Source organism: Homo sapiens, chromosome 16, assembly GCF_000001405.40.
Source record: "Homo sapiens chromosome 16, GRCh38.p14 Primary Assembly".
Lineage (NCBI taxonomy): Eukaryota > Metazoa > Chordata > Mammalia > Primates > Hominidae > Homo > Homo sapiens.
In genome coordinates, this window is record NC_000016.10 from 76,536,147 (window position 1) to 76,551,655 (window position 15,509).

At 35.6% G+C, this 15,509-nt stretch overlaps 1 protein-coding gene across 15 annotated transcripts in view; it reads left to right on the top strand.

The window, feature by feature from the left end:
* Positions 1–15,509, top strand: part of CNTNAP4 (contactin associated protein family member 4) — a 283,357-nt gene that overhangs the window by 258,746 nt on the left and 9,102 nt on the right. For all 15 annotated transcript variants that reach the window (NR_136216.2, NR_136210.2, NR_136213.2 and 12 more), the window contains 3 exons: positions 1,970–2,194; positions 3,573–3,706; positions 4,557–4,644. Coding sequence is in view for 12 of the 15 variants with exons in the window: in NM_001322189.2 (NP_001309118.1) it covers positions 1,970–2,194; positions 3,573–3,706; positions 4,557–4,644 (447 nt within the window). In the remaining 3 variants the exon portion in view is untranslated. The remainder of the gene's footprint in view (positions 1–1,969; positions 2,195–3,572; positions 3,707–4,556; positions 4,645–15,509) is intronic.

A 15,509-nucleotide genomic window follows, 5' to 3' on the forward strand; every position in this document is an offset into this window, starting at 1 on the left:
GCCCCATGGGGCAATTCTTTATTTTAAAATCATTTAAAGCATTACTTTTTTTTTTATTTGAGACTGAGTCTTACTCTGTCACTCTGTCACCCAGGCTGGAGTGCAGTGGCGCAATCTCGGCTCACTGCAACCTCCACCTCCCAGGTTCAAGCGATTCTCCTGCCTCCGCCTCCCGAGTAGCTGGGCTTACAGGAGCCCACCACTATGCCCAGCTAATTGTTGTATTTTTAGTAGAGATAGTGTTTCACCATGTTGCCCAGGCTGGTCTCAAGTTCCCGACCTCAAGTAATCCACCCACCTGAGCCTCCCAAAGTGCTGGGATTACAGACGTGAGTCCCCATGCCCGGCCCTGTTACTATTGTATTTGTTGAAGATATTCAACAATGCAAGGATATTTAAGATGCATTGTTTTTTATTTGAGTTTTTCAGACATAGTTTTTCCAGAAATATAAACAATATACCATTAAATATCGATGCATTACAAAAATAGACACATTTATACATTAATCATACATTTTATTGTATGATATGTTGAATATCTGCTGGTGAAATAAAATAGTAGAATACTTTTCAGCTTCTCTCATTATCTGATATGCCTCATGGAAGAAGAAAAGAACAGTTGTAGGATTAAGTGTTCTGGACAGACTTCCATGAATATACAAACATTTATTACTCTTTCATAGTTCCTCATAGAAGACTGACATCCAATTTAAATTCATTTACTTTATTTAAAGTGTCTCTTGGCTATTGAACCTTTTCCTGAAGGAGGCTAACAAAACTTGGCTCCAGATTAAAACAACTCCTGACTTACAAAGAAAGCATGGGATGAGTTAATAAAAAGATGGCCAAATGCTCTTTTCAAGTCATCTGCTTTTCTCAGGAATAATCTATAATTTACAAATCAACTTGTGATCATAATCATATACTGCTGGTACCATTCTAGGACACTTTTCATGTTTAAAGTGATCATTAAGACCACTTCATTAAAATAACATGTCTTTGTTTTCTGGATATAAATAATTTCCAGTTCATCTTGCTAAGTGCAACCGTAAATGTTACTCTGTATGCACATATTATATTGAATATAAAATGCGTGTTATAGATAATAAAATAATGAAACAATTAAAAACTCTAAGATGTCAAGGGAGCCTAAACATTACTGTATGATCCAGTAAGTATCATCTACAACTTGTATTCAATAACCAGTCCTTTTTCAGTAATGGAGAGAAGCAGATTCAGGGATTTAAAACTAGTTATTTCTTCTGCCATCTTCTTCATTTTCATACATATGTATTTGGTGTGTGTGTGTGAGAGAGAGAGAGAGGAAGACAGAGAGAATTTGGGATATTAATCTCATACCAGGAAAATACTACACTTTTGTAAAATGATTTAAAAGAGGTTGGTTAGTTCTGTTTGTTGATCCTGTTTCCCTGTATCATGTTAATACTAGACTTAGCTTTCTTTTTATAGTACACAATAACTATGAGAAAATGTTTAGACATAAAGGAAAATTTCTGCCTCTTGATCCTGGGAAAGAAGAGAGTCTCTCAAACATCCTTCCTTCCTAACTATTTTGTAGATAGGAGGCCCTAGACTTCCTTTAAGATACACTTCATTTAAGATTGTACTATCTGCAATATAACAGATGGGAGTTAAAATTTAAATAAAAAAGTAGATGATCAAGGAGATAGAAGACAAGCCTGGTTTGTGTTTGAACTCAGATAAGAAAGCATTTAACTTTCAACTGTAAAATTATACTAGTGCATTAATTATATGTCATTTTAACAGAAAGCCATTTCAAAGATCATTTTGAAAGCTCTATTAACTTACTTTATTATTTGATTCTATTTTGGGGTTGGTTCTTCTATCTATGCAATTCATTAAAGAAACTAAAATATAATTATTGTAACTAAAACAAAATCCTTGTACTTAAAATTTTTAACAAAAATATATATATATATTATTTCAGAGATTTCTGCATATTTTGGATCTGGCTCATCCGTGATATACAATTTTCAAGAAAATTATCTTTTAAGTAAAAACTCCAGCTCCCACGCTGCTTCATTTCATGGTGATATGAAGCTGAGCAGAGAAATGATCAAATTTAGTTTCCGAACAACACGAACACCAAGCTTGCTGCTTTTTGTGAGCTCCTTTTACAAAGAATACCTTTCTGTGATCATTGCCAAAAATGGTGAGTTCTTTTTAGATGAGAGAGAGAAAATTAAATTAGAACACTAGCTCTGTAATAATATGGATCATTCTCGTGTTCTGGCTTCTCAAGCTACAAACAGAAAAATGGAGTGTGCCTGTTTTTTGTAGTCATATTTTTAGTACTATCCTATAAGTATAATCTAAAAGGATTATTTAAAATGATTAAGATGCCCTTATCTCTTTATGATTTTGATAATTTTACATATTCAATGTATAATTTTATTTATATAAAACATTTATTATATTATTGTTAGAAGCTCCTTGACTATTCCATATGGCTATCAATATTTGTTTCATAGTTCATTTTGAAATAAGGTGTCTTGTTGTATGTAACTATTTCCTGCAAATCAAAGTAAAGAAACATTAAGGGAGTGTTAATAAACCAGCATTTTGAGTAAGAATATGTCCACAAGATGACCTTTTAGTTGTACTTTTAGTTAAAAAAATCATCATGGGAAAAAAATGTTATATCCATGCAGTGTTAAGGGAATGTAGATTAGGAAATGTGTTTCCTACAGAAAACCATTTACTGCTATTTTTCTCTTTCCCACATCTAGATTAAAGGTAAAAATTTTGGAAATAACTTCTCTGGATAAGAAAAGCAAACATACAAACATGTGACTATATCATTTCAACTGATTCAAATATATCCCAAGGGTACTGTACTGAACACCAAAATAAAAATAAGATTGTTCGATAAGTGTATTTATTCTTACTGTGCATTTTGAGCTTGAAGCTTATTTATATATTAGGGCATTTTCTTTGTCAAATTGAAAGATATCCTGTGAAATAAATTAACTGACATCTCTGCAGGCAATTAAATGAGTAGTACTAATTGTGATGGTAAATTTGGCTTAAAATCATTCATCTTACCATTATTTCATTTCAAAGTCTATGACCATGACTACTTGGACATATTTCTTCTCTTTAGTAAAACTACATTTGTGTTTAATAATTTCATTAATTGTTGTATTTCCAGAGTGTGAGATATATTTTTTAAATATAGGAACAGAATATTATTGCAATATTAAGCAATAGGTTGGCATTTCAGAAATACTTAATATTATTTTTTAAGTGAGAGGCAAGTGCAGAGATTTGCATATGCTTAATCTGAGTTGATGTTAAATTAAAAGATTTGCAGGAAAGAGAGTGCTTGTGTGCAACATACTTGGTCATGATTTTGCAAATACATTATTGCAATTTCACTTGGAAACTGACTCTTGGGGATTATAAAAAGGTATCTTCCAATTTTTCCCTCGAAATGAATAAATAGCAACAAAAAATCACTCTGATTTTTAAGTAAGCCGCTCTCAAAGTACGATTTTTACTAAAAGAATCACAATTTTTCCCCACTCTAGGAAGTTTGCAGATCAGGTACAAGTTAAATAAATATCAAGAGCCTGATGTTGTTAACTTTGATTTTAAAAACATGGCTGATGGACAACTTCACCACATAATGATTAACAGAGAAGAAGGAGTGGTCTTTATAGAGGTAATGTAGTAAATTCAGCAGAAGCAATCATTTTAATGACTCTCCAGCATGAAGGATCTCAAGCAGAAATTTGATAATGAACACAATAAGCAGAGACACTTTCATTGGTCTTCTTCTGCAGATAATAGACCTCAAATGTAGTCAGGATTCTTTTAAGCAATAAGATTTTGTTCATTATATTATTAACATCGGATACTTTAAATGCCAATCTTTTCTAACTTGTTTCTGCTCAGAAGGAAAATGATGTCATAGTGTGCTACTGGTAGGACCATTGCTATGCTAATGAAACCGGTTTACTTTAGATAAATGCAGTAATAAATCTATCAGAAAATAATGATTGTAATATCAGAATTTTTGTTAATGATATGAGTCACAGCAAAGAAAATGGAATTATTCATGGAGCCAGTTTTTGAAGAAAAGCACTAATAATTTTTTGGTTCTCTGCCTAGAAGAAAATTTCTTAGCTGCCTACCTCAAATAAAAATACCAAGTAAAAGTGTTAAGGTGAAAAATAACCTTTTGTATCTTTTTGTTGGCTTCATCAATTTTGGATTCCTTATCCAGTGGAGAAAAATAAAATGATACAAGGGGATAGAAGGTAGGGTGCACTGGCATCTGAGGGTAGTATAGAAATAATACTAATATTGTATTATATATTAATAATTATATAATAACACTTAGAAAAACCTTTCTAAGTGGCTAAGCTTTTAAATTTTGTTTTTTTCTAAATGTTTGGGGCCATGCTAACAACTGCTTAATGTATCTTTTTCTCTTGTCCTCTGTTGCTTCCTGTCTTCTCAACAAAACGTCATCCATTTGGATGTTTTTATCTTGTGTAATAATTTTGTAGATTGACGATAATAGAAGGAGACAAGTTCACCTGTCATCAGGCACAGAATTCAGTGCAGTCAAATCTCTGGTATTGGGCAGGATTTTAGGTAAGTGAAAGAAACAACCTTTCCCCTAACCATGCTAATCATGATACATAAGCATGGATCAGAAAAGTCATATTACACACACCCACTTCGTCATGGCAAAGGAAATCCCTTGCCTATTTTGATTATGAAGTGAGTGATAATCAAGACAGAGGCATATGCAGGCATGAGTAGGGGCGTCCTGTGTGATGAGCAAGCATCTTCCTTTGATGGTAAGGTCACTCTGGTCTCAGTCCTGTCTCAATAAAGTATAATGAAATATGGTATTATTCTCACATTTCAAAAATATTAAATAATTGAAAATAAAAAATAACAAAGTATGTATTAATTAGGTGCCAAATATACAAACTTTCCTCTAATGATAAAACTAAGATTAGATTTAAAAAATGGAAGAAGAATGCAATTACTTTTTCTTCTAGTTAGTTAATATGTTTCAGGTTATGACTTGGATTCTATTTGCTTTGTTGCAATGTTGCCCTTGGCAGCCACGCTTGCTCAGATGCAATCTAAATGCCTTATAATGCTTATTTATTTCCATCAATTACCTTTAATTACAGCACTGGAGTAGAAATGCACTGTTGCCATTTTAACATCAGAATATGTTTGCATTTTTTTACACTTGCCAACAAGGATTAAATTGAAAAGTAAATTTTAATAGATATTTATTTTTTAGTTATACATTAATCATTAAGAGTATTGGAATTTCACCTTATTTGAGGAGAGGGGGGCTCTTGTAGCCTAATTTTTATTCCTACTCTGGTATTTGACACTAATCTGAAATATTTTGTCCAAGATAGTAAATGGAATTTTATTTTTTGACCTTTGCAGTTATTTGTACCTCAATTAATCATTCCTTATGTTGCCTGTAGCTAATCTCAGAACCTTGAGAATGTTTGATTAAACCCATAGGTGAATGATCAAAATATTGGCCCCTGAGGTTAATAGTTCAGCAAATAAATATTTACAGGCTTTCAAGTGCTATGATGAGCACCAAGATTATGTGTTCTTATTCTCCAAACAAACAGGGGAAATACCATGAATTGCAATGTTCTTCCATTATCTATAGTGGACAGAAAAAAATATGTGCAAAGTACTTCTTAGATGTTTGGAAGCTTAACTGAAAAATTCCAAGGGAGTCTCACAGTGTTATTATATAAATCCAGCTATTTAAGACTGACATGTGTATCATTTGCTCTAAGAATATGTATATAGCCAATAACATATTTAGCATGAAATGACGATTCTACTTTATTCCGTTGATTCAAGTCTTGTCCTCTGATGTATAATTAACAGATAAGACCGTGTGCACTCTTAAGTCTGTGCACATGGGTATTAGCTTTAGACAAAACTTCAGATGCATAGAAAAACATGGCTAGGCTCTCCCTTTGTTAAAAACAAAAGAGAATATATTCAGTTATTTCATATTTAGTATTGGGAAATATTTATAGCTATTTCAGGCCACTGTGGAGGTAAGAACATTAGTGTCTAGGAGACTATTCAGCTCTGGGTATGTAACTATCTAGCTCTGCCTATTTAGCTTTGGATATGTGACTAAGGTATTTCTGAACATTATTTTTTAATAACATTAGAGGGTCTTATTCCATGTATAGCTATGGCATAGCGTAGGAAGCCAAAGAGAATTGTAAAAGTCTAAACAAACAAGCAGCAACAAAAACAAAGCCTCAACTGTTTTAACTGTGGGACCCATCTACTTCCCTACAGATGGCTCTCAGCTTTGGGGGAGGTAAGCGTGCAGGTGGCTGGGAAAGGGATGAGAGCCCCAGAGAGACCCAGGATGAGGCAAAGATGTAGGGATCATAGGGTGGAGCCCCAACCTCTGCAATGAGGCAATCTGTCTAAAAACCTCTTTGCTGAACATCAGGCTCACAGAAGACTCAGCTCCTTATTCTGTCCTCACTTAAGCCTACCTGCCACATAACTATTGTTATTTACAGAATTAAAAATATGTGCAACTGTGATTTGGAAGAGTCCTCGTCCCCCAAACTCTACACTAGTACAGTAGATACCATTAATGAGTGGAATTATAAGCTGATACTATGTCAAGATGTCAAGAAGAAATTTTAAGTAGGTTTTCTGTGCAAGATATTATACCACTGTGAGTAGAAATATATTCAACATATTATAAAACAATTGGGAAGCTGATTTTCATCCTATAAGGAGGATTGTATTAACCAAACAGTAGAATAACATTCACTATATAAGTCCTCATTTCCCTTTTTGTAAATGAATAAGGGAGATTCCTATAGAATTAAAGACGTTAAGGTTTTTACTCAAGAGTTGCATATTATCCAAATATGCATATCATATATGCTGAAAAGTGAAAGTCCAAACTGAGCAATGAACTTTATGGTCTCAGTCAACTGACTCTCCTAAAAGTATAAGTGATAATTTATTTGGCATATGTCTAAGGTATGGATCTTGATTAGGGACTAATCATTTGTAATTCAAAGGAAACCCATAACTTGTGGTCAAATTTTGTGTGGTATATGAATTTATAGCAACATGTTACATAGTATATCCTTATATTTTAATGCAGTATATTTATAGTGAAATAGATCAACAAGAGTTATTAATATTTCAAAGAGAATTGTTCTGTCTTGAAGTCACTTACTGTGTTAGTCCAGGTCCTCCAAACAACAGCTGTGAAGACAGGATTAAGCATATGAGGATTTTATTAAGGGAACAATCATGTAAGAGAAAATGTGAAGGAGCTGGCTAAGGCAGACAGGACCGTTAGATGTCCATGACACTCTGTCTACAGGGATGGAGAAAGAGAGGGAAAATTAGACAGAAGCACAGAAGTGTCTCAGACCAATGTGCAGTCTAAGAAAGATTTAGCAATGTTCAGGGAGCCATTGAGTTAAAGTCAGCCTCCAGAGGAGTCCCTTGTTTGCCAGGGATGAGCCTGTCTTGGAATGCCTGCTGTGACCTGCCACTGGCTGGGGGCAGTCCTTGGGAATCATGGCCTTGGTACAAGCATGAGGATGGATTTCAGAGCCCAGCAGTGGGGACCCTTGGTCAATTAATCTCCCTGTAGTTCGTGGTCTTTGAGGCACATTCTCACGTTTCCGCACTTATCAAATATGTTTTGCATTTTTGTAAGCCCAGGTGACTCCTTGATTCATATATTAAATACATACCTTGTGATCACCTACCATGTAAACAGAGAACGCCACTCAACAAGGTAGACGTTACATCTGCCCTTACAGAGCTTATGGCAGTGGGGATTTCGATAATCGTGATAACAAAATGTGCCTTTGTATCGACATGAGTGTAATGTGCCCCAATATTGCTTTAGATAAAGTAGTCCCAAATTACCCTCCAAATTAAAATATATTAAAATTCTTCTGTTTTTATAATGTCTGGATATTTCTTCTAAGGGAGTAGCATATAAACATTGCCTTTTTTTTTTTTGGAGTTGTAATTTGCCTACAATTACAACAAACGACTTAAGTATATAACTGTCCCATGCTTTTTCAGGTGGAAAAAGAGATATAAAGGAAATATCTCCCCTCTCTTGAATTTTTCCAGTACTCATTTCTTAAATGTAGAAAACATTCTAGGGGTAATTTTGAATTGCTGACCCTGTTAAAAAATATTACTAGCAGATATTGAGAAAGGTGGGTGAATTTTAAGAAACAGTATCAAACTGTACTCTGATGACATGGTAACCATTTCTAACTACCTGTTACAATTAAAATATAGAAGTACTTAATAACTTTGGCAATAATAATATATTGAAAGTTTAGAGCTATAGTGGGAAGATAAAGGTTTTAGTTAAACAGCTGAGTTCAGATCCTCTCATAATCAGCAGACTACATTGCATTTGCTTTTTATATTTAATTTTACTATAAAATTAAGCTCTTGAGTTCTATTCCTGGACACTTTTATATGTTAGATTAGTTTTATGATTTATTTAGGTAAAAACTGAGAGATTGTTTTCACTCTTTCTCAGCATATAGCTTTTCTATATTAGATACGGTGGTCCATAATAATCATTTCTCTTTTTTGGGGCTGCAGAGCCAAGATGTACTTTCAAATTACTGCAGTGGAGATTTAGGCCAGATGTAAATAAAGTGTGTAGGCAGCAAGGAAAAGGAAGTCTACTCAGTCTCCTCTGATGAGCTATAAGAGAAATCTCCAATGTATCAGAAATTCTTTATGTAAAACTTGCTTCAGTGCTCAGAGGTGAGACAAAAGGTGACCTAGGTAAATTAAGGGAACTGTGATTTTATAAATATATCATGAAATAATTTTCAAAATAATGGATTGGTTATTTTAAAAGCATGTTTTAAAAGGAAAGTGCAAGTTAGAGCAAGAAAAGTAAAATCAAAATCTATCTTACAATCTTTTAAAAAAATGTATCAGGTCCATTGATTTTTAATTTTTTTAATAATTAAAATGTCATAGACTGTCTTCAGTGCGTAGCATGACTTTCTTCTTGTGAAGGCTTTAGTCGATTCCAGAGGGTTAGCCATACTGTATTGAGCTGGCCATACCTAGAAGCTTATTCTCGTAATCATAATACATGAAAGTAGATCAGAGGTGTCATGTTCCAAATCCAAAAAGTATTCATGACGTTGAAAGAATCACATTACCTGATTTTAATAGTAGAACAAATGATAACTTGGAAGTTGAGATTTTGTCATAAGCACGTATAGTCATAGGCAGGTGGTCCCCGTGGAGTGGGCAAGTGTATTCCTCTGACAATGATGTCACCTGCAAAGCTTTTTATTTGGCAGCCAAGCATAATAACACATAGAGCTCTACTTACACTAAAAAAAAATACCAAATGATAAAAGCAAGAGTCACCAATCCAAAATTATATATTTTCAGGTGCCTCAAATCTACAAACCTTCATACAATGATAAAACAAGAATTTCAAAAATAAAAAGGAGAAAGGGATTGTTTATTTCTTTAATTACTAACATGCCTTAAAAGGTACCCAGCCAGGCACAGTGGCTCACGCCTGTAATCCTAGCACTTTGGGAGGCCGAGGTGGATGGATCACGACGTCAGGAGATTGAGATCATCCTGGCTAACACGGTGAAGCCCCATCTCTACTAAAATACAAAAATTAGCCGGGCGTGGTAGCATGCGCCCGTAGTCTCAGCTACTCAGGAGGCTGAGGCAGTGGAGTCGCTTGAACCCGAGAGGCGGAGGTTGCGGTGAGCTGAGATTGTGCCATTGCACTCCAGCCTGGTGACACAGCAAGACTCCATTTCAAAAAAAAAAAGAAAAACTAAAAAGTGCCCACACCAGGAATAAGTAAAAAATAAAGCCCCGATTAGGCACTGATGATAATATGTGAGTGAATTTATTAAAGAATAGTCATCCATGTAAGGAAGAGAAAGGAAGGGATTGGCTGGGGTGTGAACATGGAACCTGTGAAGTGGAGAGAGGGCACTATGCAGCCACAACAAGGAGATACTGCAAGATCAGTATGATCGGGGGTTCCTAAACCACGGGCCACGGACAAGTACTGTGCTGCACAGCAGTAGGTGAGTGGCAGGCAGGCAAGCAAGCGAAGCTTCATCTGTATTTACAGCTGCTCCCCATTGCTTGCATTACCACCTGAGCTCTGCCTCCTGTCAGATCAGCCACAGCATTAGATTCTCACAGGAGTGAGAACCCTATTGTGAACTGCACATGTGAAGGATCTGGGTTGTGTGCTCATTATGAGAATCTAATGCCTGATGACCTGTCACCAACTCCCATCACCCCCAGATGGGACCGTCTAGTTACAGGAAGAGAAGCTCAGGGCTCTCACTGATTCTACATTATGGCCAATTGTATAATTATTTCATTATGTATTACAATGCATAATAGAAAGTGCACAATAAATGTAATGCACTTGAATCATCCCAAAGCCATCCCCCCACTCCCATCTGTAGAAAACCTGTCTTCCTTGAAACTGGTCCCTGGTGCCAAAAAGGTTGGGGACCACTGAGGCTGATGATATTCCAAAGGACTAATCAGAATCAGAGCAGAGAAATTTGAATGCTACCAGCATTGTCTGTTAAATGTAATGGGGTGTTAGAGATGATTCTCATGCCATCATAGTACAATTTAATATTATTACATAAAAATTATCCCCCTTGCTTGATATCTGCTTCTAATGCTTGCTAATGGTGATTGGAGTGAAAAATTGTCACTATAGTTCATCCTCATTTGTAGAAATTAGTACTAGAGGATGGGGAAGAAAGCATTTCATTTCTTTCTGGTCTTCCCTGTGAAAAGGCAGATAGTCTGATGTCATGTCTAAGTACTTTGTTCACAATGTACATAAATTCCAATGCCGAAGTGACTGACTTGTCAATCAGCTTCCTTAAGATAAATATTTACTAGAAAATTATAGAAAAAGAAATCTCTCTAGGATGTAATTAATTAAAGGAAATATACAGATACAAAGTTGTTTTGCCAATTCATTAAGCTATTACTGGATCACAATTCCACCACATGGGGAAAAAGAGAGATCGCAATTAAGATATTTACATAATCTTATTAAAGTTGTATAAAACCTCTCATGGGAAAATATGCCCACATTTTGAATAATGATGTAATTTAACACACAGTAAAAATGACTGAAAAAAATCACTACTCAAAAGTTGAATGAAATTTATAATTACTATTTGTTATTTTTTGTGTCAAATACATAATGGCACAAGAACACTAACAATAATGTGTTGATAATTCATGGTGGTAGCAGTAAAAACCAGGTTGCATCAAATTAACTTGGTTGACATTCATCCATCATTAATAGGGTGTGCTACATTTGCTTTTTATCTCCAAAACTCATTGTAAATTTCAGTTCTGAGTTCTGTTCATTTTTATGTTATAGGAGTTTTCTATAAGCCTGGAGATTATTTTCACTCGTTCCGAGTAGTAGCTTTGGTGTATTTAGAGGCGATGACCCATAGGGATCATTTATCTCTTTGGAGTCCGCAGAGCTCAGGAAGCACACCTCAGGTTTCTGCAGTGGCAATTTAGGCCAGATGTAAATAAAATGTGTGGTCTGAGAGAAGAGGATGTCTACTGAATCTCCCCAGAAGAGCTTTAGAGACAATCTTCCATCTCAAGGATATTTTAAGTAAAACCAGCTTCGAAGCCAAAGGGGTAAAAAAGAAAGTTTAATTAGCTTACCTAAGTACACTGTGATTTTTGCAAACATCTTGTAAAATGACACTTAAAATGAGACAGGTTATGCTGAAAGCAAAAGGGAAATACCTGCCACTGTAAGATAGCTGCCTGTACATAACCTGTGCATTAATCAGGCTTTCAAGTTTATAACTCAGTACAGTAGGTTTGGTTGGCAAACAAATACCTTTTATGATAAACTGCCTCTTTATCCACATAGTATTTTTTTGTCTGCTTTGCCATTTTACTTTCCCACTAACCCTTTTTGTGTTGAGTCCCTGGTGGAATTGCATAAAATAGTAAGAGTGCACCATTCAGTTCCAACCCTGGCTCTCTTGATTCACTGCACCTTTTTTTTTTTTTTTTTTTTTTTTGGCAAGCCTTCTTAATGGATTCCAGACATTGAGATCTTTCTTTTTAAATGACTCCTTCTCATAGGTAGGACATATAAAGTACTTCGTTTTCTGAGTTTTTATTTTTTTGCTTACGCCTCAGGAAATTTCATAAAGCACTCCTTGTAATTGTTCTTACATGTATTGTCGTATCTTTCAAAAAAACAGTCGTTTCTCTGTAATAGAAGGGCACTTCACCAAATTCTAATTTCTCGGTACTCCATTTTTCTTGCAGGCCTTTTGTTAAAAGGTTTCTTCTTTCGACAAGCAGAAGTCACTCCCTTTGTTGGAAATTGCACTTGAGGGTTACTTTTTAACAGGCACAAACACCCAGAAATCCGAGTCAGTTAAGGATTATTATCACAAGAAACACCTAAAACATGACTGTTTTATCCAGATTTCTGTGAAGCAGGAGACATTTGTCATCAGTCTCTCCCTCCACCTACCCTGTTCTAACTCATTACACTGTGTTGGCTTTTGGGGAGTCAGATAACAAGAAAAACTTATATTTTTGCCCATTGGCTTATTAGCACAATTGTCAAAGCAGATATCTGATGCTATGTATTTCTAAGGCCAGCTTTGCTTATGAGCAACTTAATATAGCTGCTAATTTTGTTTGGACTCAATTCTGGGAGGACGGCGGCTGAGTTGCTTGTAGTTTCCCTCCACTTCCGATTCGAATTCTACCCCACCGACGCTTCTGAAATGAGTTGTTGGTCCAGGCGGACAGGCAGGGGGATCCTGGAGGGAACCAGTGAGGAGGCTCTTGTGGGGCTTCCTACCTTCTGGGTTGGAAGGAAGTCCGGGGGCCAGCCTAGAAGAATCTCAGGGGGGGATTTGAATTGTTTGGATCTTGTGGATTGCTTGCCTTACAGAGGTCCCTGGGCCCCATGGGGAAAGATAAGCATTAGAAAGTATTAATGTGCCCATTTTCTCTGTTTCTCAAGGTGCTAAGATGACCTGAAATTTGGGCCATGCCCTCTCTGTCCCAAAGCTGAGTGAGGAGAGGTTTCTTCTTAGGGCTGTGGCCTGCAGCTCTGCTCCTGGTCCACCCAGATCACCACACTGTCTACTTGCCCTGGGTGTGAGCCACCTAAGGTGATCAGTGGCTGGGCACCGGCAAGCAGATTAAAAAGTAAACTAACAAACCAACTCCAGACTTAAAACCATTCAACATCAATAAAAGGAGAAAAAAACTAAACCAAAATGATTTTCTATCAAAATAAAGCTATTCAAGGAGACAGACAACAACATGAATGAGGCTTAGTAAGAGTACTTTAAGGAGATTCTCATAAAGCAAAAAAAAGACCTTGAGGATCTAAAAAATATGATTTTTTTTCCCAAACAAAAAATATAACAGGAAAGAATGATCTTTTTTGCTACTTGAATTTGCATCTGGAAGATCAAGTGAATGAAGTATTTGACCCACAGAGATGTAAGTCCTAAATAATAGAAATCAGGATGGAAATAAAATGAATTTAGAGAATATATAGAGGAGACCTAATGTGAAAAATTGGCATTCTAAGAGAATAAAAAGGAAGAAGGTGAAACAGCAGTAGTGTGCAGATTGTATGAAAAATTCCAAGCTAAATAAAAACTTTGTGTCTGCAGATTGAAAGGGCTTATCATGTTCTATGCAGAATACTGAGATAAGATACACACTTAGGGACAATCTGATGAAAATTCAAAAATCACAGGGTATCTTACAAATTTTGAAAAAGAAGTAATACAGCCAGAAGATGCTGGAATAATATCCATAGTGTACTAAGGGAATAGGGCTGCAAAAAATGTCACCCTTAAAATAAACACATAAATATAACCTAATCCATCAGGGTAATTTTCTGTTCCAGTTACAACCATCATATTGTCTAATTTGTTTTCTTCATAGTATTATCAGTCTTTAAAATTCTCATTTAGTTTTTGTTTCTATGTTTATTGTCTCTCTCCCTTTCCCTGCTAACATGTAAAATACTCAAACATCCGGGCATTTGTTTTCTGTTTCTTTAGCTCATAAAAGGATAAATATTAACTGACCATGTGTCCATTTTGAGTTTTAGCGGTCATTGGTTTTTGTACAATAATTTTGAAATAGGTGAAATGTTTTCAGTTTGTAAGTGTGAGGCTTTTAAAATATATCTCATATCAGATTATTACCAGAGAAGTAAATCTTGTCTGGTGGGGTGGGGCTGAAAAGGGAAGATTTTTTAAAGGCCTATGGAAATTTTATTCAACATTTTAACCTTGTAGAAGAAATGTGAAAAGCACTCTCCCAATTATGCTCCTATGAGAGTTTTTCTTTTTAATTTTTATTTTCTTTTTAATTTCTCATTAAAGTAAAAAGAAAAAAAAAACTCCAAATCAAGAATGCGGTCTTTTTCATGTATATATGTTTAAATCTACATATATTCAAATGAATGATTGCCAAGGTGGACTAAATGATTTCTTTGGTTCCATACACATTGATGAACTGCCTCCTATATAATGACGTTATGCTGGATGTTGGCAGTCATCTTTATGTTTGAGGAGCTCACAGTATCGTATGTAAGCAGCAGAGTGATGCTCCCTCAGTGCTATCTTTGGGTAATGAAGAAGAGCAAGGTGGGTCAGAACATGGCTCAATACCAGATCCCTCACAACAGGAAAGTGATATAATCGCTCTGATTTTCCATTTTCTTTTTATAGAGGATGATATTCAAAATACTAAACATTGTATCAGGATTTTTATTATTACGTAGAAAACATGAATGAAAATAGAGCCCCTCAAAATTCTTTAAAAACTTAGATATAACTGGCCAGGTGCGGTGGTTCATGCCTATAATCTCAGCAACGTTGGGAGGCCAAAGTGGGTGGATCACTTGAGGCCAGGAGTTCAAGACCAGCCTGGCCAACATGGCAAAACTCCATCTCTACTAAAAATACAAAAAATTTAGCCAGGCGTCAATCCCAGCTACTCGGGAGGCTGAGGCAGGAGAATTACTTGAGCCTGGGAGGCAAAAGCTGCAGGGAGCTGAGATCGTGCCACATCACTCCAGCCTGGGTGACAGAGTGAGAGTCTGTTAAAAAAAAAATATATATATATATATATTAGAGCTCAGATGCCCAGGGTTAGTTAAAGTCTAGCTCTCAAGCAAAGATGATTTAAAAAATAAATAAATAAAAGCCACTACAGAGACTGAAAGCAGAGTAAAGGAAAGAGTATCTCAACCAGAGAGTGGTTTATAAACAAAAGAAGCTCATAATTTGGAATACAGTAGGCCAGAGGTCCAGTAATGCCAACAACTGTGTAACTTCAGGTGAATAGTTAAAATTCTGAACTTA